The sequence below is a fragment of the Homo sapiens genome, chromosome 2, assembly GCF_000001405.40.
Source record: "Homo sapiens chromosome 2, GRCh38.p14 Primary Assembly".
Lineage (NCBI taxonomy): Eukaryota > Metazoa > Chordata > Mammalia > Primates > Hominidae > Homo > Homo sapiens.
The window spans coordinates 191,725,239-191,753,106 of NC_000002.12; the positions used below are offsets into that span (position 1 = coordinate 191,725,239).

Genomic DNA, 27,868 nt, shown 5'->3' on the forward strand with positions numbered 1-27,868 from the left:
ATGCCCTTGGCAGAAAATCATAGCTAATTTCCACCAGCTTTCACATTTAAATCTGTGTAAGTAACCACTCGGTGTAGGATATTCAAGGAGTACCAGGGAAGAGCAGCATGGTACAGTCAGCCCAATCTATCAATTCACTAGAGTAGGTCAAAGCGCGACCTTAGCGACCTTAGCGACCTTGTATCTGAGTTCCGGTAAGGGATTTTATTTTAAAAATGATACGTATCTCTCAAGATATAAATTTCTAGTGGCTTTAAGAAGGTCTAAAGGGGAAAAAAAAAGGGTCAGCTGGAACACAGAGATGATTCAATGGCCAAAGGACATTTTTGAGACTGTGACTTTCACTTAAAAAAACAGATTTCTGGATTTTGGGATCATGGTGAATTTCAGCTCTCTTGTTTTTCAGAGGCATACCCTTACACACAGAGTTAATTCAGATGCTGAAAAAAACAGAACAGAACTATTGTTCATTTGTCATATTTTTAAGAACAATTGGAAACTCTTTTTAATTCTAGGGTAATGGAGATGCTGGAGTTTTCCCAACTTAGAGAAAAAATATAGTTAAAAGTTGATTTGTAACAGAAATTTTTCTAGAGACTAGGTATTTCTACTTTCTGGGATGGCAGACAGTAATTTAAACCTCCTTCTTTCATAACTACTCATAGAAGATTAAAGGTTTTAAGAATGGGTTGGGCTATTCCAGGGGTGGTTTCTCAATCATAAGGATCCCTGCCCTTTGAAGGCTTTGGTTTGTCATATGGTAACACAAGGTCAGTTCCAAGAAGACACCAACTCTGGTCACTCACTTGTGTCAAACCAGTCATACTTCTCTTTGTTTAGTTTACATTTAGCCAGAGTGAAGGAGAATATAAAATTATTTGAATGTGCCAAGAAAACTTTTGGGAAATACTGCTTTGGACAACTTAAGCTTTCCAAGTTTTATTGAAAAATCTGTTCAGTAGTTCGGTATTTGGATATATTCATTTATTTTAAAAGGTGAATGTTTGACCAGGGTCAGTGGCTCATGGCTGTAATCCCAGCACTTTGGGAGGCCAAGGTGGGTGGATTGCTTGAGGTCAGGAGTTCAAGACCATTCTGACCAACATGGCGAAACCCCATCTCTACTAAAAATCCAAATATTAGCCGGGTGTGGTGGCGCACGACTGTAATCACAGCTACTTGGGAAGCTGAGGCAGGAGAATCACTTGTACCCAGGAGGTGGAAATTGCAGTGAGCCGAGATTGCACCACTGCGCTCCAGCCTGGCTGACAGAGCAAGACTCTGTCTCAAAAGAAAAAAAAAATGGGTGAATGTTTATTAACAACCTTGAGAGAGCAGAACAGCAATGGCCAGCTGTCATTTAAAAAGCTTTTTATTCAGTACTTTGGATAGGATATTTAGGATATTTTAATAAATAGGTTTTGAATTATTTAGGTTGGATAGTAAGTATTATGCCTGCCCTTTGGATTTAAGTTAATTATAGGAAAATGTGGGGTTAAAACTTGAAATGTAACTGAAAGAGTGTACTCTTGATATTACAGCTATTGCTAAACTTTTCATAATTCAATATTCTAGTTTGGTTCATCCTATTTTTCTGACAGCTTTTCTCTGTCTCCATCAATAAAAACATGGATATATTTTTAAATTAATGTAGATTTGCATTAATTTAAAATTGTGTGAAGTCTGTTGTTCAGACATGCTTTAAGAATTGCAGAATCCAGATGGCAATTAGCAAACAATTTTAAACACTCATAGAGGCTTACCTTCCAACCCTAAATTCTAGGTTTTAACTGAATAATTTTAGGTACGTTGATAGGGGAAGAATCAGAATTCCACAAGTTAATAATAGAAGAATATTATTGCCCAAACATAATTACTGTGGCTGACATAAAGACTTTAAAATAAGTAACAAAACTGCCTCTCTCAACACTATCAGGCCATCCTGTATTTAAAATTCAATTGTAAATAGGAATTAAAAAGAAGCTGAGGAATGGCATGCATTCTAATCTGCTGTAAAAAGTTATTCAGTCATCAAATTCTCTTGTTTTTTTTTTGTTTCATAGTACATACTGTATACTCTATCTTTTCTAAAACTGGAGCCTTATTTTCTAAAACGAAAGTGTCTCTCTTTCTCAAGGAGGCAGATTTGTCTTTGAAAAAAATAAACTTGTGAGAAAAAAATTAGAAAAGAAGAAAATTAAGTTATAAAAGATAAAACAATTTCAGACTTGCCAATTTAAATAGCGTGTGTCTAAGCTTCAGTCTTCTTTCTCTCTCTCTTTACTGCAGTTGAGTTAGCCTATTTTTTTCACGGTACATCTTCTTGGAAAAAATTACTATAGGGACTCAGAACACGATACCTCAAATTGTGGGCCCTTCACATATGGAGTATTTTAAGCTGATGGAAATTGAGAAAAACCACAGAGGCAGGAAGGTGACTCTCTGACCTTCTCCCTCCCTTCTCCACGAGAGGCCCCCATGTGACAGGTGTCCTTCTGTATACGTGGAGGAACGGAACAAAGACACAGAGAATCCAAGAAGAATCTGAACTGAAACAGGCCTTGCTAAATTTCTCTGAGTTTATTACTATTAGATCATACCCTCTTTTGTCCAGTTGTACTTCTACATAACTGTCCTTTCCTCATCAAACCTAAGCACAAAATTACAGTTTTCCCTGGGTCTTTGGGTCTCCGTTTCTCATAAAACTTATATTAAATAAATTTGTTATGCTTTTCCCTGCTTAATCTGTGTTTTGTTACAGGAGTGTCAGCCATAAACCTTGTGATGGGAGAGGAAAGGTTTTTACTTTTTCTCTCAATTACTAGTAGTCAAAAATGTCCCTCACAATCCTTAAACCTGAGGTCTTGCTGCAAAGCCTGTATTCTGGCCCAACAGTATTACTTGAGGGTTATGAGATCAAGGGTATCCATAGACCAACCGCAGGAAGCTGGAGTTTCTCCAGCTGTTGTAGCCCCCTATGCTTTTCTGCTTTAACTTCAAATTTCTCTATCAGCTTAGCCTCAGACTCACAACGTGACCTTGGGCAAATTGCTTAACCTTTGGACATTGTTTTATTTCAAGATCCCTTGTTAAGGTGCTTTCCATTTCTAAAATACAGTTGAGGAATTCTTTGAATGCAGAGAATTTACAAATCAGACTGAAATAGGGAATTCATTCAATTATTAATTGTGTTCTTATTTTACAGGAGAAATACGCTATTCAAACAAAATACTCTATTACTAAAATAGGCTGTGATATGAAGGGATCTTATTAGAGCTCGGAACCAGGAGGAATTTTTCTTTCAAAACAGACCAGACACATTTCTAATGTAATAGAATAGTGTGTTTCTCCAAAGGCAACTCAAAGAGAGGGCTCCTATACTTTAATTCTTTAAAAAAAGTATCAACAAATTAGAAATAAGGCAAAGGGATGGCTGAGTGTCCTTTCTGTGTCAGACTACAACACTGTCTAACAGGATTACTTAATTCTTTGGGAGATTACCCTTTGTTTAACAGATGATTTATTATTGATTAGGGCCCAGGTTCTGTGAAATTACATGTTAATGCATAGAGTTTTGTCTGGTAGAGAAGCAAATGATTTCTGTTTAGTAGAATAATATAACCCGAAAGGTTATGGTTTTATTGCTCTGTAAAATATCAACCAATTATAGATCTACCCTAGCAATCTTGTTGCAACATTGTTCCTTCAATTTCTGTAACTGCTTAGTTCTCCAAATACTCTTTGGAGCTTTGTCATCCTACTGGTTCCCTTATTGGTAAGTTATGTAAATTTTGATACACTTTATATTTATGAGTCATAGTCATAATATTTAATTTAATTTAATTTTTTTTTTTTTTTTTGCTGTCACAGTTTTCATTGTTTTTACTACCTTCCTACTGCCACCACCTGGAAGAGTAGAGGGTTGCCCAAAGCAGAAAACGTTCTAACTCTAAGCGCTAAGCTCCTAGTTATTTGGATTTCCATATATTTTTCTTCTTCATCTGTGTCCTACCCCCTACTTCATGGATGTCTGTTGTAATGATTGAGTCCAATTACAGTAGATTATTGGGATTTGAGGCTTAAACATTTGCAGTTTTGACTATTTTCAAGCAACTTAACATGTAATGATTTGCAATTTTGCTGAGGAATGAATTTCGGTTGCAGGCTTTGCAATATTGATGTGTCTGGAATGACTCACAGAAGTAAGGGGGAGGGGTTCAGCAACAGTCTCTGAATTTTAACTTGGCTATGTTGTTCTACACTCATTATCATGCACACTAGCGCTCCTGAAGTGATAAAAACTTTGTTTCTTTGTGTAAAATGGGCTATAAAAGAAAATCATCTGCTAGTGTTGCTAATTGTAGTAAAGAGAAAGTAAAGAGGTCTACGAAAGCAATGATTCTAAGCCACAGAACAGAAGTGTTGGAGGTGCAAAGTACACCATCAATTCACAGTTAACTCAGCAAAGAATCATGAAAAAGTGTTTATCTGTGCTAATAATCAATGACCAAATTAAAATAACATATTTTATTTTATTAACTTGAAAAAAATCGATAAGTATTGGTGTTTCAAGGGTTTGAGAAAGGTTCTTGTCGAAGTTAGAGCAATATAGTGGAAAGATTAATGAATTTATATTCAGAATGTCTGAGTTCAAGCTCTTCTAATTAGCTATACAGCCTGAAATTGTACCTGAAATCTGTGGGTTGTAAATTCCAAGGGGACATTGTTTATTGATTTGTTGCACATGTTACATGAATTTGTAGGTTTGAAGTTGGCCAATGAATATTACAAAGATCCCTGCCCTTAAAGAGCTTTTCTATTGCATTATAGGATAGGGAGGTAGGGAAAAGAAAGATGGTGAGTAGACAGCAAAGGAATAAATAAATAAACAATTATCTTAGAAGAAGATAAATGACATAGAAAATAGAAATGAAATACGGTAAGTAAAGATTGACATTACGTGTGTGTGTGTTGTGTGTGTTGTGTGTGTGTGTATTTGTACAGGTGTGTTGTTGCAGTGTGTCACTGCAGTAATAAAAAAGGTGGTGAAGGAAAAACTTCATGCTATGGTGACATTTGAGCAAAGTCATGAAAAGAAGGTGAGGGAGTTAACCAAGCTGGAAATCACATCCAGGAGTGGAGAACAGATAAATCATAGTGGCTAAACTGGAGCCTGCTTGGTCCATGTTCCAGGAGTAGGAGGGGACCAGTGTGGCTGGAGTTGAGTGATTAAGGGAAAGAATAGTTGGAGATGAGGTCAGAGAGATGAGTGAGATGGTATTGTCAGCCTGTAAGGTCTTGTAAGCCATTGTCTTTTATTCTGTGTGAATGGGGGGAGAAAGCAGGGGATTTTGAGCAGAAGAGTGATATACATGTTTTAAAAAGATCATTCTGGATGCTTTGTTCAGATTAATTTGTAAAGGGGCAAGGGTGGAAATGGGAGAACTGTTCAGAGACTATTCCAGTAGCCAGGTGAGAGATGCTGGCTTAGACCACATGGCAGCAGAGAGGTGGTGAAAAGCATTCAGATTCTGCATAGATTTGAAAGAACAGCCAGCAAGGTTTGTGGTTGAATTACATGTGGCTGTGAAAGAAAGAGCAAAGTCAAAGAGGACTCTAGGGTTTTTCATCTGATAAATGTGGAGTTGCCATCCACTGAAATAGAGAAGGCTGAGGGTAGAGCAGGTTTTGGCAGTAAGACTAAGTATTCAGATTTTAGCATGCTGTGTTTGAGATGCTTATTTTACATCCAAGGACATACAAATCAGCAACTTCTAGTTGGATTTGTAAATTTAGAGGTCAGTAGCATATCACTGGTTCTGAAAGCCCCAATACTGCTATGATACCAAAGAGTAATTGTAGTTATAGAAAAGAACAGGATCAAAGACTGAGCCCTGGGACACTGCAACATAAAAGAGTTAAAGGAAGAACCAGCAACGAAAATTAAAAAGGAGCAGCTGGTGATATAGGAGAGAAACAGGATAATGTGGAAGCCAAGGGAAGAAAGTGTATCAAGGAGGAGAAAGTGATCAACTGTGCCAAATGCTGCTGATAGGACAAGCAAGGGAAGGACTGGGCTATTGGATTTGGCAGCATGGTGGATACTATTCATATTGTTCACAGTGGTTTCAATGGAATAGTGAATCAAAAATCTGATTGAACTGGTTTTAGTGGGGAATGGCAGAAAAGAAAATACAAAAAGCAGCTGTAGATAGCTTTCTGGAGAAGTTTTTGTGCAAAAGGGAGGAGAGAAATGAAACAGTAGCTAGTGGGGCAAGTGGAATATGTAGAAATTATTCTTTATCTTTTTTTTTTAAAGATGGGAGTAATATCAACATGTTGTTTGTATTTGAATGAAAATGATCCAATAGCGAAAAATTGGTATGAGAGAAAGAGGTGAGAAATGTTGGAATAGGTGATGTCCTTGAGTAGACTATAGGGGAAGGGATTTAGTATGATTTAGTGTACAAGAAGAGGAGTTGGCTTTGGGTAGCATCATGAATAGTAACAAATATGGAGACAGAGTATGTGGATGAAGATGCTGGTAGGTGAATAAATATGGTGGTGGAAGTCTATGGAGTTCTCTTCTGATTGCTTTAATTTTTTCAGTAAAGTAGGAATATGAAGACAAGAAAAAAGTTTAGGGTATTTTAGAAGATTGAAAGTGTAAAAAAGTTGTCCAGGAGAGTGGGAAAGTGAATGGTCTTGGGAAATTAAGTATGATATCCTGGTAGCATTAAGAGCACATTTTAAGATCTGTTCATAAATTGGAAGTGAGCTCATTAAGCATAATTGCCTGTTTTTCTCCAGTAATATTTAGTTGTTTAGTGGAGGTTTGACATAGGCACAGAGTTGGATTTTAACCAGAATTTCAGTTTTCCAAGTAAGTACAATAAATCCAAAGAAGACAAATGAGGCAAAGGCATATATGGGAGTAATCATAAAGATTGGCCATGGAATTTAAGCTTGATAAGTAGGGGAATGATAACATCAAGAAGTGAGGGACAGTGGAATGATGGTAGATCAATGGATTGGGGGTCCCAGGGACTTTGAAAGATAACTGGGGATAGGATAGCAGAGAGAGTAGAAAGAAAAGACTGGAAATGGTGGCCAGAGGGTACAATGCATGAAATTAACATTAATAAATGTTGCCTTTATTGCTAATGCATTTTTGCATTTATTGCTGGGCTATGACCATGGGATTTGAGGCTGTGGTAGAATGGTTGACATGATCAATGGAGAACAGAAATTCATGGATTTGAGAGGCCTGGGTGTGGGCATGACGGTTTACCTGTGTGTCCATAGCCCTAGGAATTAAGACAGAATAGTATTGGTGAGTATGACCATTAAGCAGAAGCCAGAATCTAGAGAAATGAGGAGAATGGCAGAGGCATCACTGGTTCATGATATAATCTGATGATGTGAGATTCAAAGCTGGTATTTTGGGGGATGAGGGAGAAGGAAGGGAAGCAATGAGATGCAAGAATGACACCTAGCTATCTTCAGGCTCAAAGATCTGAGGGCTACAAAAGGAAAGGCACTCTCCAGTTTGGGAGGCTGATAATGTGTTCTCAGGGAAAAGTCAAGTTTTGATGAGAGCAAAAAGGTGAAGGGAATGTTCAGATCATGGTTTGTGAAAATAGAGGTGTGGCAGCCAGCCACTGAGATGATACCCAATGACTGTCCTCTCCTGGTATTTAAGCCTCTTTTGGTTCCCTCCCTTATGGAATCAGAGCTGACCGTGTGACCAATAGAATACTACAGAAGTGATGGCATGTAGTTTCTGAGACAAGGTCATATTAAGCTCTATAGCTTCCATCTTACTCTCTTAGATCACAGGCTCTTGGGGAATCCAGCTAGCAGGTCATGAAGACACTCCCTCAGCCCTATAGAGAGGTCCCAGTGGAGAGGGAGAGTTGCCTCCCCCAAAGCAATCAGCACCAATTTCCAGCATGGGAGTGAACTATGTTGGATGTGGAGCCTTCATTCCCAGTCAAGCCTTCAGATGAATCCAGCTCCCTCAGACATCTGACTGCTGTCTCGTGAGGGACTCCATGCCCAAATTGTCTAGCCAAGCTTTACCTAATTTTCAATTGTGAAAACTATGTTATATAATACATGATTGTTTTTGTTTTAGGCCACTAATCTTTGGAGTAAATTTCTATGCAGCAAATCTATTGATGATACAAGGGGGCTTCGCAAATAATGGTTATGGACTTCAGAAGGCCCAATGGGTCAGCTTCAGAACCAGTGGAAGGAGGGTGGAGCTGACAGAACAGGGTATGTATAGAGCTTTAAGGGGACAGAGTGTGTGAGAAGAGAGAAAGTCAGGGGTTTTTGTGGTGCCTGACATAAATAGGGATACATAAAAACATGAGGCAGTTATCAAGACAGATAATAGTGGTGAAGGAGTGTGTTTGTTGGTGAAGAGGAGGAGGTTTCTTCACTTTTGATGCTGGGAGTAGAAAGCCTAGAAAGTGTGGTCTTAGTCACAGGGTCAGTTCAATCTTGGCCACTGGTCTTACGTGTGAGCTCTATGTGGATCCCTGTTGATTGTATATATTGTTTATTTCTCATTTAAACCTTTGATTTTCATATTATTATCCTCATTTTACAAATGAGAAGACTAAGACCTAAAGAGGAGATTAAGTAACTGGTTTGAGGTCACACGGTTAGTAAGACAGGGTCAGAATTTGAATTCAGGTCCCCTGACTTAAGATTCTACCCTAACTCCACATTTTGCCCGTAACAGAGACATTTGAAACCAAAGTTCTTCAATTTTTTAAGGGTGGAATGGAAGTTAGTCATCTCAGGCATATATCCGTGGAATGCAATTATAGATACTCTTTTAAAAAACCTCAGCATGATACATATGCATGAAGACATGGAAAAAACCCAGTATGAGAGACATTGACATCTGATCAGAGTAATACCAAGTACCTAGAAGTTGGCAGCAAACAGAAGAAAAGAAATAATCAGCAGAGGCACAAAGCCGATGCAAAATTTATTGTGAATTTATTGTCTTTCTCTCCACTTAGAATGTAAATTCTATGAGAGGACAACTTTGCCTAATGTTTGATACTCAATATCAGGTATCCAACACACATAAGTATTGAATGAATGAGGAAATGACGTTCAACCAAAGGAAAAGTGTTTGGATGAAAATATCCTAAGTGAAATGTTCAGTTTAGGGAGGGGCCACAAGTTGAGGGTGTAGATATGAGATTGAAGAAATTTGCCTTCACGATTTCCTCCTCTACCCTGCTCTACTGATCCAAGTTCCAGGGCCCGTTCATATTTACAGGCTTTCCCCACATTCTCCTTGTTACCTTTCTCCTCCTTTAAGTCCTTTAGAGACTTTGAGAAACAAGACGTTCTCACTCAGAAACCCATTAGATCATCTGGAAACTTAAAGACAAAACAAAGCAGTACAAAAAAACAGTGTGTGGGTTCCCATTTTCCATAGGATCTAATTTAATTGGCTTGGGTTGGGACTCAGACACTGCTAGTCTTTTCAAAGTTTCCCAGGTAATTTTATTGTGTAGCTACAATTGAGAAACAACTAACAACTTACTATTACCTTTGTCAGGGAAATTGGAACGTTGAGAAATCTAAACTTTATAGCAAAGGAATGTGGTTCTGACTAGTGCAATTTCAGACATCAGTAGGTAGAGAAGTCCCCAGAAATCACCTCCACCTAGTCCTAGCTTGGCACTTCAAGGTGCTTGAAGTGTTTGCTAAAGAGATGAATGAAAGCTCCTGAAACTATTCCATCTGCCCAGGCGATGCCCTTCACTCTGTGTGTCCTAAAGTTTGGCCTCTATACCTAGAGAAGGGCTGTGAAGACTGCTCAGAAAATGGAATAGTCTGAGAAGCAAAATATCTAGATCAGTTATTTCCAACTTGTGAGTCAAGGGAGGAAGGAGATATGGGTGGGAGGATGGTTGTGAATCCATATGTAGACGAAACATAAATATGTCTTGCATAATATACTACCTACTTTTTTTCTCAAAAGTGTGTTGATAATATCATGGTGAATAAGACACAAAATTGTCTTTTTAAACACTGTATTGAATTCACAGAAGCCTTTTGTTATTCTGTATTTTCTTGTTGAACAGATATAAAAATTCCAAAAATTACAATTATTTTCATGTGGGAGCCTAGCCCCCCCTCCTTTTCTTAATTGGAAAGAAGTCTTTGTATTAAAAAACATACCCTGTCATCTAGTCTGGAGGAAAGATGCTTTGGAGGAATGAGGACATGCATGAAAGTGAGGGGGTTAATAGAGAACTGTTCAGCGTTTAGTCAATATATTTCATTTCATTTTGTACTGGAAGAAGCTGGAGTTAATATGAGCCCTGAGTGCCCAAGTCTGATGTAAAATGAAGTATCCTCATCCTAGCCTTCTCAAAGGGTGGCCCCAAATCAGTCGTCTTAAATACACATAAAAGGAGATAGTCTTAGGGACCTGTTCGGACTTTCTGGAGTAGGTACTTTATTCACAGCCCTTGCGACATACAGCTCTGATTCCTATAAAGAGGACAATATCTTCCTCTTTCATGATAATTAAGCCCAAGGAGTCATCTCTTTATCAGCTCCAAAGAAGAGGAGTAAATGATAAACTACCATCCTTGCCTAAAATGAATGAATATAATGGCTAAATGCTTATCTTTACAGTGACTTGCTGCTTCAAGCTGACCTCTGAAGCGAGTATACACAGGCCACTTGTACATTCTTCATCAAATCATTAAGAAGTCAAATGAAAATGACCAACCACTGTCTCTGACATTTATTATATATATGAAAGGCATTTAGGAGATGTAAAGACCAGGCAATTGTGAAACAACTATAAAGATGCAAGACTGAAAGCCTCAAGAGTGACATTCAGCTGCTCAGTTATGCCAGCAAAATGGTGAGTGCCCTTTAGTTTGAGACTTCAATTCTAATGTAGGCTCAAGACAGGAAAAGGCCACGGTGATACATGGTGGAATGAATATTAGACTTGGAGTCATATGTCCTGGTTCTGAATCCCTGCTCTGACATTTAACAATTGTTGATCCTGAGCAAGTCATCTAACCTTGTAGGGCCTCAATTTCTCCCACCTGTAAATAGAAATTAATACAAATTTGTGTTCCACTACCTTAGTAAGTTGCGTAGCTCAAGAGACACAAGTATCGTAAAAGTATTTCATAAGATATAAAACGTCATGCAGATATTATTATTGTAATTGCACTAATCATCAATAACCTTATTCAGTTCAAAATAGTGCTGTCCGGATCATGACTTTACAACCTCTGAGTTCTGGGCTTGGAGCATCCCATATCCTAATCGACAGTAAATATTTACTGTAGGGCCCAATAGTAGTCATGAGATTTTAGGTTAAAGGTGATTGTAAACACAGCTCTATAGATGTCCATAAACATGAACAGTTGGGAGGAAAATAGCCGAAAACTTACCTAGAGAGAGTCAAGTCTACTATTGATGTGAAAATATTGACTATTTGGTAAGGCTGATAATAAAGAGTTTTGAAAAATTACATTAAAAAATGAGAGCTTTTGGAACACCAGGAAGGTTGTCGCTGGGAGAGACAAACTGTTGAAATAGTACGTGAGCAAGGACCAGCAGGGGCTCAATGTGTCAGGGCCACTAGGAGCTGCCAGGTGCTGCAAGTTGCCAACTTCATGCACAAAAGTTGTCAACAGTGTGGATGAAAGTTCTCTTTGCTTCCTGGTACAGCATGGCATAGATGATAAAAAAAAATCCCATGAAAGGTAGCAGAAAATTAGTAAGTGTCTCAAAATGGAGGACTTTCCACCTTAGCATCATTAATTTCTTCCAGCATACTCACAGTAGAGGTTGCATTCTTGAGGATTCACAGCTCTTGTACCAGCTTTGCACTGCTCCATACATAAAGTCTTTTTGGTTCCATGTTTATTAGTATTTGCATTTTGGTTTCTTAATACTTAGATCACAAACCCCATACAATACTTCCTTTGCCCTTTGGCTTCCTGAATTGCAATCATGAGCATGAAGTTTCATATCCCTGTGCTCAGTGCCAATCCATGTGCCAATCCCATGGCAATTTTCTCCAACCACCACTGCCATGCATCTTGTATACCTGGGAACAGAGTTCACACAGAGGTATTTATGGTAATAAACAATAAACGCATAATATTCGGCTTCCTAACAACCAAAGCAAGAGAAAATTTAATGGGTTATATCATACTCGCCTGGCTTTGGAGCATTGCATGGTCACTGTGCACCTAAAACTTGTTTGTCTTTAAACTCCATTTCATCTTTAACGCCTTCCTCTTGCCCCCAATATACCTGGTCTGGGGCTGTTCCCTTGGTGAGGCTCTAGTTTTATCTTTTCTTGTTTCCTGCACTAACTCCAATCTCTTACCCCATACAATTGCTTTCATGATGAAGGATCCTGGAAAGTAAGTGGCTGAGTAGGTAAAACTTGCAGGAAGCTCAGATTTTATCTTTGTTTTCCAAGGCTTAACAGGGCACATAAAAAGAAAAAAAAATACAATCACGGTTTCTGCCACCTGTGCAAAATAGAATGAAAATAGAATTACTTCATCAAAATTTTTTTTCCAGTAAAGAAACATATGGCATGACCATATTTCTCTATTTCCTAGGATTAGTAGAAGATTCTAAGTTATGGTGACTGAGTGAAGGAGATGATTGCTGGAAGAATTAAAGCTGGCTGTCTGGAAGGAATTTAGGAAGACGTAGTGGTTATATAATACTGAAATCCTAGGAAACTGGAGAGTATGTATTCTTGGCTTATCATTTATTTCTGTTTGGAAATGATGGGGCATTATGAAGCTTTCCTAGAAGTTCCTAAAGGAGAAGTCAAGCAGCAGACACATCTTCATAATGATTCAGAAGACCTTCAGCTTACGGAGTGAAGCTTTACTGTGAACGGAGAGTATTATGCAGACATAGCCTGCAGAGGAACTGCTGGGCAGATTGGTGTCCATATGAATTCCTTTGGCAAGATGTACTAAAAGTTCTGGACTTGTGAAGTTAAAATCTGGTAACAAATGAGCTTAATGAATCAGAGAGATGCAAACTTCAGCTGCATGTGTATGGGACGTGTCCTGTTAACATTGAGAATTACTCTTGGTTTATGATACTGCAAAAGTGCAGCTAAGCCAGACCATAACTCTAGTGCCTCTGATCAGGGCAAAATTAGGGTTAAATAGAACAAGGTTCTATGGTGAGTAAGATGAACCAAAAGACTCATGGTATCAGTTTTTAAAATGATTTCTCTCTTTCTTGCTCTTGGGCTTATTTGCATTTCCATAATTCCTTAATCCCAGAATAAATTTATTTTTTAAAATATAATATTTTTAATATACAACATTAATTTTTAGAATTTAGATTTATGGCCTATTAACAGATTTACTTTTTCCAAACAGATAATACAGAGAAATATAATGAACTTGATTATATAGGAGTTTACTTAGGATAGAATGAGTCATTCTCATCAGTGAAACAGTTCCTGATGCCCTTTTAGTCTCTATTGAAATGAAAAAAGAATTTGTGCTAATATTTATTCAGTCATTTAATATTTTATAATGAACCTTGACAGCTTTTAAAGGACCTAGATACAGCAGCATGCACATTTCTGTTTGTTTCGTCATGGGCTTGGGATTTTTGTGCAGATTTTTCACGGTTCTCTGCTTCTCTGGTTTTTAAATAGATTAGTGTGACACTGTAGAACATTTCTTGTTAGTGGGGAAAAATTGGAAGCCATAAGCGTCTAGCAAAAATAGGGGTATATCTCCCAAATAAAGAGTATTTTTAAAGCTTTGGCAACTGAAAGACTAGATTCTGTTTGGCCATACTGGTGCCATGAGTTTGCTGTTTTTCCTTCTTTTTTGCCTACTCTCACTTGTCACATTCCTCACTAACCCTGACATCTCACACGTACTGAAACCTAAATAGATCTCGATCTTCTTGCTTCTGTCAAATTTAAAAGAAACACAACTACATTATAAAATGTCTTTAAAATTCCTTTATGTTTTTACTGCAGACTTTAAGAGAAGGCAAAGGGAATTATGTTGCAGGGAGACATGACGTTCCCATTATTCACATGGCTACAATACTGCCCCTCCTCTCAACTTTCTATTCTCTTTCCAAGGCAGTCCATCCAAACCACACCTTCTCCCAGATTTGCCTGCCCTCCCCTGCTCCTCCTCCAGCCTTCCTGTTCTATTCCATTCCTTGGTCTGCAGCTCTCTGCCCTCTTGGCTCTTTTCTCTTTACCAAGTGCCCTGCGTGAGCATAAGGAAGGGCCTAGAAGGGAGCAGCCATCAAGCCATCTCTTGAAATTGGCAGAGAAGAAAGATGATGAATATACAATATTTTTAGCTCTGTCAAATAGACTCAAACCCAATCTAATACACATTTAGAACTCGGACTCTGCCTACAAAGAATTGGTTGCTATCAACCTTTACTCCTTTCTTACCACCTTTCCCTCAACACTTCTTGTTCTATCTGCTTTGCTGTATGCCATTTCCTTGGGGAAAGTAATCAGAAGAGCTGGAGGCTACTGCAGGAGATGGGGTCCTGAATGGCTCTTCAGAAGGAGGGGGCTTAGCTTGATTCTGGGGTGGTGCATTGGCACAGAGAGAAACTGTTGGCTGTCCCACTAAGTAGACACCTAAATTTGGGAGGGCAGTTGCAAGCCAGGTGGGGGAGGAGTAAAACAATGGAGCAGTGAAGATGTATATTGAGTTTGAGAGCAGACAAAGATAAATTTGTCAATATGAAAGAAGGAAGAGAGCAAAACATAACTAGAGCAGGTGTCACAATTGAGGTCATGAGTCAGCAAAGACTAGACTGAAGGTACAAGAGATGAGGAAGACATTCAAGGGGGAAGGGTGGGGCAATGGAATCAAACACACAGGAAGAAGGCCTTCAAATTTTATACCACCATGGTTTAGTCCTTTTAAGAAACTTTCTTATGTGGTATTTATGGTGGATTGTGAACATGGCTTGTCTTTTCTAAGCTCCTTGAGGCTGTGTTCTGAGTTTGGTTTGCCCTTGTTGTGGAAAATGTGGTGAGTCTCACATACTCCCAGCTGTCTGCTGGTTGTCATGCAGCATACATCCAGAAGGGCATTGGGTAGTATTGAGTGAGTAGGAGGAGACAAGGAAGCCTGGCTGTTGGGTGAGCAGAGGGTGAAATACTTAATCAGGTCTTGAAAATTTTTATGAAAAGTCTAACTCCAGTATTTTTTGGAAATTTCGATGATATTGGTATCATCCAATTTGTATAATCCAAGTCTAACAGGTCTTGCTGCTCTCTGCTTATTTAAGAATAATGTATTTAAATACGATCAAGTGTGATAATCTTAACTATCACCTTCTTTATCTCTTATCACCCTGACTAAGGCTATGGTATATCACATAAGTCATATACCATAAATTAAATGAATAAAAAATAAAGAAATACTATAATAGGAAGTTGTGTTTACTGTGGAAAAATTAGATAACACAGATGAACAAAAAGGAAAGAAAATGTGAATAAACTATAATTCCTTTGAGACATATTGATAGCTATAGCTATAGGTATGTATTTGCACATTTTAGCACCATGTAGCTTTTTGATAAATTGTTATTTTATTTAATAGCATAACACAAATGTCTTTCCACATCATTAGATTTCAGTGAGATGTCAGCAAATGTGGTTTGAGAACAAGTTATGTTGGAATAAATCCATACTGTGAATCATTTATTCTGTAACTTGGAAATCAGATGTTTGGAACAAATGGTATAATTAGTGAGAAAAAGACCAAATTCTTCCTAGGAACTTGATTGAAAATAAATTATATCCTCCCTCTCCCGTCTCCCTCTCCCTCTCCCGTCTCCCTCTCCCTCTCCCGTCTCCCTCTCCCTCTCCCTCTCCCGTCTCCCTCTCCCTCTCCCTGTCTCCCTCTCCCTCTCCCGTCTCCCTCTCCCTCTCCCGTCTCCCTCTCCCTCTCCTTTCCACGGTCTCCCTCTCAAGCCGGGCCAAAGCTGGACTGTACTGCTGCCATCTTGGCTCGCTGCAGCCTCCCTGCCTGATTCTCCTGCCTCAGCCTGCCGAGTGCCTGCGATTGCAGGCGCGCGCCGCCACGCCTGACTGGTTTTCGTGTTTTTTTGGTGGGGACGGGGTTTCGCTGTGTTGGCCGGACTGGTCTCCAGCTCCTAGCCGCGAGTGATCCGCCAGCCTCGGCCTCCCGAGGTGCCGGGATTGCAGACGGAGTCTCATTCACTCAGTGCTCAATGGTGCCCAGGCTGGAGTGCAGTGGCGTGATCTCGGCTCGCTATGGCCTCCACCTCCCAGCCGCCTGCCTTGGCCCCCCCAAAGTGCGGAGATTGCAGCCTCTGCCCGGCCGCCACCCCGTCTGGGAAGTGAGGAGTGTCTCTGCCTGGCTGCCCATCGTCTGGGATGTGAGGAGCCCCTCTGCCTGGCTGCCCAGTCTGGAAAGTGAGGAGCGTCTCTGCCCGGCCGCCATCCCACCTGGGAAGTGAGGAGCGCCTCGTCCCGGCCGCCATCCCATCTAGGAAGTGAGGAGCGTCTCTGCCCAGCAGCCCATCGTCTGAGATGTGGGGAGCGCCTCTGCCCCGCCGCCCCGTCTGGGAGGTGAGGAGCGTCTCTGCCGGGCCGCCCCGTCTGAGAAGTGAGGAGACCCTCCGCCTGGCAACCGCCCCGTCTGAGAAGTGAGGAGCCCCTCCGCCTGGCTGCCACCCCGTCTGGGAAGTGAGGAGCGTCTCCGCCCGGCAGCCACCCCGGCCGGGAGGGAGGTGGGGGTCAGCCCCCCGCCCGGCCAGCCGCTCCGTCCGGGAGGGAGGTGGGGGGGTCAGCCCCCCTGCCCAGCCAGCCGCCCCGTCCGGGAGGGAGGTGGGGGGCTCAGCCCCCCGCCAGCCGCCCCGTCCGGGAGGGAGGTGGGGGGGTCAGCCCCCCACCCGGCCAGCCGCTCCGTCCGGGAGGGAGGTGGGGGGGTCAGCCCCCCTGCCCAGCCAGCCGCCCCGTCCGGGAGGGAGGTGGGGGGCTCAGCCCCCCGCCCGGCCAGCCGCCCCGTCCGGGAGGTGAGGGGCGCCTCTGCCTGGCCGCCCCTACTGGGAAGTGAGGAGCCCCTCTGCCCGGCCAGCCGCCCCGTCCGGGAGGGAGGTGGGGGAGTCAGCCCCCCACCCGGCCAGCAGCCCCGTCCGGGAGGGAGGTGGGGGGGTCAGCCCCCCGCCCGGCCAGCCGCCCCGTCCGGGAGGTGAGGGGTGCCTCTGCCCGGCCGCCCTACTGGGAAGTGAGGAGCCCCTCTGCCCGGCCAGCCGCCCCGTCCGGGAGGGAGGTGGGGGGCTCAGCCCCCCGCTGGGCCAGCCGCTCCGTCCGGGAGGGAGGTGGGGGGGGTCAGCGCCCCCTCCCGGCCAGCCGCCCCGTCCGGGAGGGAGGTGGGGGGGTCAGCCCCACGCCCGGCCAGCCGCCCCGTCCGGGAGGGAGGTGGGGGGGTCAGCCCCCCGCCAGGCCAGCCACCCCGTCCGGGAGGGAGGTGGGGGGGTCAGCCCCCCGCCTGGCCAGCCACCCGGTCCGGGAGCTGAGGGGCGCCTCTGCCCGGCCGCCCCTACTGGGAAGTGAGGAGCCCCTCTGCCCGGCCACCACCCTGTCTGGGAGGTGTACCCAACAGCTCATTGAGAATGGGCCATGATGACGATGGCGGTTTTCTGGAATAGAAAAGGGGGCAAGGTGGGGAAAAGATTGAGAAATCGGATGGTTGCCGTGTCTGTGTAGAAAGAAGTAGACATGGGAGACTTTTCATTTTGTTCTGTACTAAGAAAAATTCTTCTGCCTTGGGATCCTGTTGATCTATGACCTTACCCCCAACCCTGTGCTCTCTGAAATATGTGCTGTGTCCACTCAGGGGTAAATGGATTAAGGGCGGTGCAAGATGTGCTTTGTTAAACAGATGCTTGAAGGCAGCATGCTTGTTAAGAGTCATTACCACTCCCTAATCTCAAGTACCCAGGGACACAAACACTCTGCCTAGGAAAACCAGAGACCTTTGTTCACTTGTTTGTCTGCTGACCTTCCCTCCACTAGTGTCCTATGACCCTGCCAAATCCCCCTCGTGAGAAACACCCAAGAATGATCAATAAAACAAAAACAAAACAAAACAAACAAACAAACAAAAACAAAACAAAACAAAACAAACAAACAAACAAAAAAAAAGCGAAAATTGTGGGCATTTGCAGTCTTTGCTGCCATTAAGTCTTCTGGATTTTTCTACAGGTTGACTCTAAAAGTTGAAATCCAGTCAAAGATATTTACATTATTATGGCCACATGAACGTTGTTTACCCTCAGGCCAAACAATGGGCTGGAATTACACTTGCTTCTCCACACACTCCATCCCATAATCCATGTGTCACTCAAAGGACAATGTGGCAAGCAAGCACTAAGGCCCTAAATTGATACTGTATCAATTAAATACAATTATGTTGTGTTATTAAAAAAAAAAAAAAAGAAAATAAATTATAAAGCTCTTTGCTGTAGGTGAAGCCTACAGTAGGAATGTAGGAAAAGCCATTTGGAAGGCAGGACAAGGGTATGGCTTCTTTTAATAGCATTTTTGCTATTTTTCACAGTGGAATTTAGTAATGATTAATAAATTAATATTTGTAAAGCAATGAAAAACATTCAGTTTTAAAATTATATACTATATTATACATAAGTATCAGTTTAGGGCATGATTTTGCCTTTTATTTTTTCAACAAAGAAGAAAAGTGTCCTTCAGTGTAGAAAAATATCTAATGTATTTTCTAGTTCTTAGTTTTGAACTCATATTCTACTAAAAATCTAAGATATTCTAGAAAATGATTTAAATGTGAGAATTACAATATCTGATTTATTATTCACAGCATAATTTTTTATTAAATAAACTTTCAATCCCATTATCATTTTTAAACTACTTAGCTCCAATCAAAATGAAAAGGCCCATTTCTTCATCTTTATTGATGTCTTTCACGTTTCAGTGCCCTGGAAAGAGACTTTCTCTACTTTTAAATGAAGAATTCTGGGTTGCTCATTATATCTGAAAGATGGATGTAATGGAAATGAGTGATGGAACAGCTCTACAACAGCAACTCTGTGCTTCACTGTGGTTTGCTGCCCTGGAATAATATCTGCTACTTTTGTCTTCACCAAAATCATGTGGTTCCCTCACCAGTGTCATTTACTCGCCCAAACTTTATCTTAGTGGTGGAGGTGGATTAGTCCCCTGAACCTTGAGAACATGTTTTTTTCTTATGCATCATAATTGGGAAGTTTTTCTTCAAAATATCACTAGGCTGAAAATGAAGTTCTTTAAAAGACTTATAGAAAGGTAGCGAAAAGATGTTTTCTTTTTAATGGATGTCAATGGAAATGCAGTATATATAGTAGGTCCTGAGAAGACTTAACAGATATGTGACATGAAAATATGTTTCCTCTCAAATCCATGCTTGCCAGAACTTTATTTTTAAATAGCAGAAGCCTTGCAAGGAAATGTGAAAGGCTGGTACTATTAAAAAGGTCTGAGTTATTAAAAAAAATACATATGCATTCCTACATGAGACATATACCTTAAAGAAGGACTGCCTTCTAACGCAGATTTTGTTTTTGTTTTTTTACTTGGCATAACAGAGAAGTCAACGCGCTAATCAATAAGTGCCATCTATTTTTGATTGACCTTAATTTTCTGAATGACTGCTTTTCTTCAAATATTTTAAGTCATGACTAAATTTCATTTAATAAGAAATGTTTAGGTTAGTTTGTAAACAAGAAATCAGATATTATGAATCCAAACCTGGAATTACATTTCAATAATGCTTAATTTATTTCATATTTTAGCCAACTGATTTGTAATTGTATTAAGGCTCCCAGGATAAACTCCATGGTTAATTTGGCCCTTTAAAGGTCAACAACATATAAGGGCATATGTACTTTAATTCTACTTTATTCTGATATTTCATAAAACAATAATGTATTAGTCTGTTCTCATGCTGCTGATAAAGATATACCCAAGACTGAGTAATTTATAAAGGAAAGAGATTAATTGACTCACAGTTCCACATGGCTGGGGAGGCCTCACAATCATGGAGGAAGGCAACGAGGAGCAAAGTGATGTCTTACATGTAGGCAGGCAAGAGAGCTCATGTGCTGGGGAACTCCGCTTTATAAAGCCATCAGAAATTGTGAGACTTATTCACTATTATGAGAACAGCACTGAAACGACCACACCCATGATTCAGTTACCTCCCACTGGGTACCTCCAACGACGTGTGGGAATTATGGGAGATACAATTCAAGATTTGGGTGAGGACACAGCCAAATCATATCAAATGGCATGAGATTTATTGTAAAGGTAAGTTCTGCCTCATTAATAATGAAAAATTGATTACACGTTTAAAAAATATAACTTAAAAAAACCAGAATTTATGGTAGATTTGCATTTCAATTGATAGAGTTTACTTCATTTGTGACAAAATTAGTATATTCCAAATTGGTCTGATTATAAACATTACTGGAATACTTGTTAAAAATATGGATTCTCAGCCCTTCTATTCTAATATAGTGGCGCTAGAGCTCAGGTTTAATAATATCCTCACGTGATTCTTAGGACCTAGCAGGGATAGGAAACACTAGACCAGAGCTGGTTCTCAACTCCTGGGATGCATTCAGTTAGTTATCTGGGGAAGTTTTCAGGTAATGTCAATGCCCAAGCCTCCTCAAAGACCAATTAACAAAGGCTCTCTGGGACCTGGGCATTGAAATATTAAAGTAAAAATTCCAGGCCGGGTGTGGTGGCTCACGCCTGTAATCCCAACATTTTGGGAGGCCGAGGCAGGCGGATCACCTGAGGTCAGGGGTTCGAGACCAGCCTGGCTAACATGGTGAAACCCCATCTCTACTAAAAATACAAAAATCAGCTGGGTGTAGTGGCAGGTGTCTGTAATCTTAGCTACTTGGGAGGCTGAGACAGGAGAATTGCTTGAACCTGGGAGGCGGAGGTTGCAGTGAGCTGAGATGGTGCCTCTGTACTCCAGCCTGGGCAACAAAGAGCGAAGTTCTGTCTCAAAGAAAAAAAAAATTCCACCTCTGTAGACTATGTTATTTCACATTACACACTGATGAGAAATAGATTAAATCATTATGTGAAAGATCCTGTGAATGATAGCTGGAATTCCAAGATAGCTAGAATTCTGGCTCCATGAGAGCAGGAAACATCTGTGTCTGGTCACCTCTGTTCCTTTAGCCCTGGGCACAGTGCCTTCCACACGTATTATGGATGTGCAGTTACTATGTATTGAGAAACTAGTTTCTGTTGGCTAAAATTTTAATTGGCTTCAAATGTTGAGCTCTTGCACAAACGAACTTTAACAACTGTACATGAAATACAGTCCAACAATGGTTAAAATTAATACATATGTGATGATAGAGATGAACGATAGCTGATGAAGCCAGGGGGGACTTATTCCAAGTTAGTTCAGGTGAGTCAGAGGGGGCTTTCCTCAAGAAGCCCAGAATAAGTGTCCATCTGAACAACCACTACTGAGTACCTTTGATCAGCAGCACATGTAGTAATCACCTTGAGGAGCGACCATCTCCACTCCCCAGGAATTGTATGGGATTGCAGCCAGGCTTAGAGGAACAGGACAGCAGAATCCTCTACCTCCACCTCCCACGCATCCATTCTGCACCTGGTCCTTGTCAAAGCTCACACTTATTTGAGTTAATTTTGGCTCAACTCCTCCCGCCCACATGTAATTCCTCTCCTGTTTGTCAGCCGTAGCCAGTATGAGTTTGGCACTCTGAGACTGTCCTTTTATTGTGTGACCACAGTAGCACCTAATATGGTGCCAACCACACAGTCATGGCCAACTAATACTTGGCAATGATGAACATAATAGACAAAGAAGATGACCGGAAAAATATCCTTCGATAAATAGCAAAGGAAAAGGTAGTGATAGAGGACAGAGAAATGGCAGAAACTTTTTATGTAGTTTTCATTTCTCCCTTTTATAGAAATGGTCAGATGTGAACACTTGGCTAGAACAAGTCTCAGCTGTGAGAGGAGATGGGAAGGCCAACTAGGACAGGCAAAGAGGTAATTAAAGAGTACCTGGAACGTCTGTGTACAGTGGAACTAGCAGAGCCAGATGACTAGCAGTGTAATGCAGTGGAAAGAGAATTGGATGAATCTTCAGAACACTCAGGCTCCATCTCAACTCACCTTACTTACTAATTGAGTGACCTTGGGACAGAAAGGCCTCTGAACCTTGCCCTCCATTCTTGCAGAACAGGGATAATATTACCGTCTTCATGGGACTGTTCTACAGAGAAAATGAAATAAATCATGAAATACTATTTGGACCTAGGGAATATTTAACAGTTGCAGATGTCACTGCACAGCTGCCAGTCTTCGATTTTGAGAAGTCATGGAGGACAATTCTCTGCAAGATAGCAAGTGGAGTATCAGCTTACACTGATACCTGGGAAGCTAGCGGAAAAAATCATTAAGCAATTAATTAGCAACGATTTAAAAGAACCAAGAAGTTGGAAAGCAACCCATATGGCTTTAAGATCAAATGGTACCTTTCCAATTTTGTTGCCCTCTCTAATTGAGGAACAGCCCAAAAGGTAAGAAATCATGCAGGTGGAGTCCTGCATGATTGTCAAACCATCAGTGCAAGCTAAGTTGTTCAAAACTCTAAGTATCATCTATTTATTTTTGGCATGATATATGTGATTATATTCATTAACAGGTAATATACTGTATTGTGTGCCCTGTGTTAGAGACTGGTAATGGGATAAGCAATGAGTTCAGGGATTTCGTAAAAGGTTGATCAATTTGCCAAGATTTCATAAGAGTTGATATGACTACACCACAGACTCTGAAATGGTGTTTTTAAATAACACTATCAAGAGCAAAGGAAATCAAGCTATTCGTAATTAGTTTTCTATGACAAAGTTGGAATGGCTGTGTCATTGTTTTACAAAATGTCAAAGTGCAGCAGAAGGAGAAGAAATCTTTCGTGTCTGGTGATTATTCATAGATCTGGGTGCCCTGAGAGCAGTATTTCTCCAAAGGGTTGCCTGCACCAATAGCTGACTCATCTGTGGAACTTGTTCAAAATGCAAGCCCCTAAGCCCCTTGGCAGGCTTATTGAATGAAAGCTCTGAATGTGAATTTTATCACAGTGGAGACTCTAATACTCATGGAAATTTGAGATCTGCAGAGAAAAATGGCATTATTCGATATGTAATAAGCATTCTTAATATGAATATGGCACAAATAATTGAGAATATCAATACTCAGATGAGTCTAAATATGAGTGGATTAGTCTAGAAAACTTTAGTCCAGAAAACCGAAATACATATCAGTGATTTTGAAACATCTGGAAGTGAGCCATTCAAAAACAGAATAAATTTCAGTGGTGAAAGCAAGAGATATGTGGTCTGTGTGTCATAATTAGCTATTCCCTTTGATGGGGACTTTCCAGGTTACCTCCTCAGAGGATCTTCACTCCTTCTAGTTTTGTTTTGTTTTGTTTTATTTTGTTTGCTCCAGGTAAAGAATGACATTTTAAAAATACTGATTCCCAGGCCCATCCCAGACTAGTTTAAACAGAATTTCTGCAGGTAGAGTTTAGACAGTGGGATTTTTTAAGGATTGAGAACCACCATGTAGATAAGCAGAGGTCAGGTATGGGAGGTGGCAAGGAGAGAGAGATAAACATGCTTTCTTACTCAAGTATGCTTGGTTACAAAAATGGAACTGGAAAATAAGTTTAAACAAGTAAACCTGGGTTAGCAATGTTACTAACCACTTCCAGGGGGGCCAAACTGATTTTCTGTTTGCACTATGCTTGCATACATCTGAACCCTTCCTATTCAGCTTAATTAACCTTGCCAAATTTAAGGTTTTCATCTTGAATTGTTACAATTTGAGAAGTCCTGACGCTGGCTTTCCTATTTTTATATTGATTATTTGATCTGCCTGAAGCCTAAGATGTGAGGATGTTTCCTGAGTGTCAACTCATTCTCTGTCGACCTGTCAGGAGGGTTCTATGCATAGTGCAATGCATGAGTCACTAAAGCCATCAGGTCTGTTTTATGATCAAGGTTGGGACGAGCTACCTGAAGGAGTTGGCAGTTCATGTTGGAAAGTTTTGTGATCCCCAGTTTGGTCATAACTATGTCTACAGTAACGTTGGTTTTGTTTTCTTATTATTGATTGATTGATTATTTCATCATTCAGCAAATTTACACTAAACATCTGAAATATTCCAGGCGTTTTACTTTATACTGAGTACAGTATATCAAGATATCATATCTAGCCCTTTGTTACTTTTTTTTCTCCCTCATTCTTCTTCCTACCTCTTTTTTCCCTCCTTCTACACAAACCTGCTTCTAACATTTGTGGGGCCTCGGGCAAGAATACAATGGAGCCCTGTCTAGTTTATGTCTAAGTATTTATAAGTCATAAGACAAGCTTGCAAAGTGTTAAATAAAATATGTTCCATCTCCTACATTGACAAATACACCCTTATAATAAGCCAGAGCTAGGTTCAAATTTAGCATTCTCAGATTCCTCAGAATTTTGAACTAGAATATGGTGGTTCTGGGGGAGTCCACATCCGGTACCCCAGATTCAGTTCCTTCCTTCTTCTTTCCTTACTACTGGCTCCTCCAATTCTTAGAGGGGCCTCACATACACTCACGGGAGGTTCCAGGCCCGGGATCTGTGTCCATGGCCATTCCCGGGCTCCTGCTAAACAGCTGCTGCCTGGCAACCCCTGGAAGAGTGTGTACCAGTTTGGCTAGCCTTTGGGAAGGGAAACCCTGGGAGAAGGACTACATAGGGCCTGAAAGTGGCTCGGGTCATTCAGGCAGGGAATTTATTTTACTTTATTTTTTGAGACTGAGTCTTGCTCTATCACCCAGGCTGGAATGCAGTGGCACGATCTCAGCTCACTGCAACCTCCACCTCCTGAGTTCAAGTGATTCTCCTGTCTCAGCCTCCTGAGTAGCTGGGATTACAGGTGCGTGCCACTACGCCCAGCACATTTTTGTATTTTTAGTAGAGACGGGGTTTCACCATGTTGGCCAGGCTGGTCTTGAATTCCTGACCTCAAGTGATTCACCCACCTCGGCCTCCCAAAATGCTGGGGTTACAGGCATGAGCCACCGTGCCTGGCCTGGGCAAGGAATTCTAAGGTCCTATACTCCCAGAACATGGACAGAGTGTGGGATGGATATAGGTTCCTGGTAGACATGTACCCTTGGCCCTAAGGGGAGGGGTGCAGCTATAGCAGAGGGGGACTCATCTTAAACATGGCACCCTATAAAGCTAGGGTTCCTCTCACCTAGGTCTAGGGGTGGTTCTTTTACTTGCTAATTTTACTAATTCAACATTTATTGAGTGTCTGTTAAGTACAAGGCATAGTGGATACTATGTGGGTTTGTGCGGGAAAATGTAGAACGAGGGGAAGAGGAGGAAAATTCTTCTCTCCTTCTTCTAGACTCATTTGTTTCTCCATTGGTATCCTCGGAGACTCTGCACATCTCTTGGGCCCTGCCCCTTTGAAGGTGTGTATCTATGTCCAATCTTTGTCATGAAGATGACAGGAAAGTGGGGACAACTGCATTTCCTGTCTAGGACTTTGTGGTGCTTGAGGACATTATTGGCCAGATCCTGTCCGTGTCAGGGTGGGGGCAGAACAGGCTGAGTGAGAGTTAAGCTGTGGCACATTGCATATATTACCTGTAAATAGGAGTTAGGCTTTATGCTTAATTTTGGGATTCTTTTGCATCCATTCACATTATTCTGTAATACATATGAATAAATTCATCTGCGTCAAAATCCAATTTTATTTCACTTTTTCCTTGATGGTGAGTAAATGGGATTCAGAGGCAGTTAAAACTATTGACTTCTAGGCCCAATAATAAATATGTAAATTTATGCTAAGATGAAATCCAATTTAAAATAATTCCAGTGAAATTACATAGAGAAGTTAGCTTAAATGGGCATACTTTCTACCTCTCTCTTTGTATTTGGTGCTGTGTGGAAAGTGGAGCATCAAAGCCAAGGATTGTAACTGAAATTACACTGAACACACACAGGCACCTTCCAAACAACTTGGGCTTTTGCTAGGCTCTTAGGGGAACTGTTAAGATTATGTTGTGCTTGTCGAAGAAGAAGGATACGTGGTAGTAAACCCCTCTAGGTCAACCTGAAATAGGGAAAGATAACTGAGGAAAAATACTGGTAAGTACTCCATGAAGAAGTGTACTTTAAGAATAAGGAAAGGCAGTTGGCAGGGAAAATCCTTGAAAAATTTGCTATGGGCTTTTGAGAGAGAAAAAGCATGAAGAAAGTGGCCTTTCAGAGAGCAAATCTTGGTGTAAATTGGATAGGAGATCTCTGGGGCTCTGTGCCTTAATTGCTTAACCTGGGTAATTGTACAGAAGGAAAACTTTCTGGGTATTTGTTGTTGAATAATGTAGTTTATCCTGCCGATTGAAAAATATCCAAACCAACACAAAATTGAATTTAAATTGTTTCCATATTAAGATCAATGGGACCATTTTTTAAGTTCACTGTGGTTTCCTTTAAATGCATTTCAGCTCTTTCCATAAAAATGGCTCATTTGGCAATTGAAGGAAGGTAATTTGATTAAAATGACTAACATTCAAATAATCAAGATAGTAAAAAAAAAATTCATGTGTTTCATAAAAAGCCTCATGGTACAGTCCAATTCTTGGAAATCATTAGCTAATGTTCTGATGATCAAATAATAAATACATAAGTGGATTAAAGAAACATAAATGCAAACTCATCTAAATTTAATTTACTTTAGCTAAAATCTACATACACGTTTGAATATTGAATATTAATGATGTAAATATTTTAGGGAGAAAGCAGGAGTTTGAGAATAAACATAATACATTAATTATAAGTTTCTAAGAAGTTGTCCCCAGGTATCTTTTATTCTTTACTCTTGGCTTTTGGTGGTACATTGCATACAAAATGACACTGTAAAACTCTCTCTCTCTCTCTCACTTTGTTTCCCCTAATCATTTTTTTTTTCCTCTGAGCAGATAAAATCAGTTTAGAATGTGTACTCATACTTGCTGAACCCTCTTCTCCTGGGTCTTGGGGAGAGAGTGTTTTGAAGGATACCCATGGATGGTTCTAGAAGCACAAATTATGAAGAAGGAAGAGAACTTTCCATGTTCCCTTTTATTCTCCATCTAGAAGACTAAGCCTTTCTAATTATTTTTCAATTTACAATTTATACCATACCTACTATAAAGTATAATTTAAACTTACAATAGAGGGCATATATACCCTAAGACCATGAACATAGAACTAGAAAATCAATGTGTGAAGGAGAGAAAAAGCCTACTAATAACTTGGGTTAATACCATTGCAGTGCGAATATTGAAGCATGAACTCTATATGTTATTTTCCAATTAGGTGAATTTGTGGATCTGGGCCTGCATCTAGATTAGGTCAACAAAATGAATGTTTTATTAAAGTTTTTTGGGGGGATACAAGTAAATGAAAATAACATTTAAGGGCAAATGAATTGTTTTGTGTTTTATTTTCATTGCCTATATTCACACAAAATTATTTGTACCTGGAAGAAAATTTATGTCTTTAATGAAAGGGCTACACTTGGCCTGGGAGTGGGAATAGTTATTTTCACAGGGTACTTTCTGTCTGGTGGTAAGATTCACTTAAAAATTCAATTGACTTGAGAAGTTCCTTGATATTTAATTAGATCAGCAAGGAGTAGCTATAATGCAGTCCTTCTCAAATTCACCTAGT

The 27,868-nt window shown here is 40.6% G+C and overlaps 1 long non-coding RNA gene across 1 annotated transcript in view; it reads left to right on the forward strand.

Annotated features, from left to right (window-relative positions):
- LOC124908062 (uncharacterized) overlaps positions 1-15,752 on the forward strand; it is a 39,374-nt gene extending 23,622 nt beyond the window's left edge. Inside the window, exons 4-6 of the long non-coding RNA XR_007088698.1 lie at positions 8,138-8,280; positions 10,678-10,912; positions 12,645-15,752. This is a non-coding gene — a long non-coding RNA (uncharacterized LOC124908062). The remainder of the gene's footprint in view (positions 1-8,137; positions 8,281-10,677; positions 10,913-12,644) is intronic.
- Positions 15,753-27,868: the final 12,116 nt, after the last annotated feature.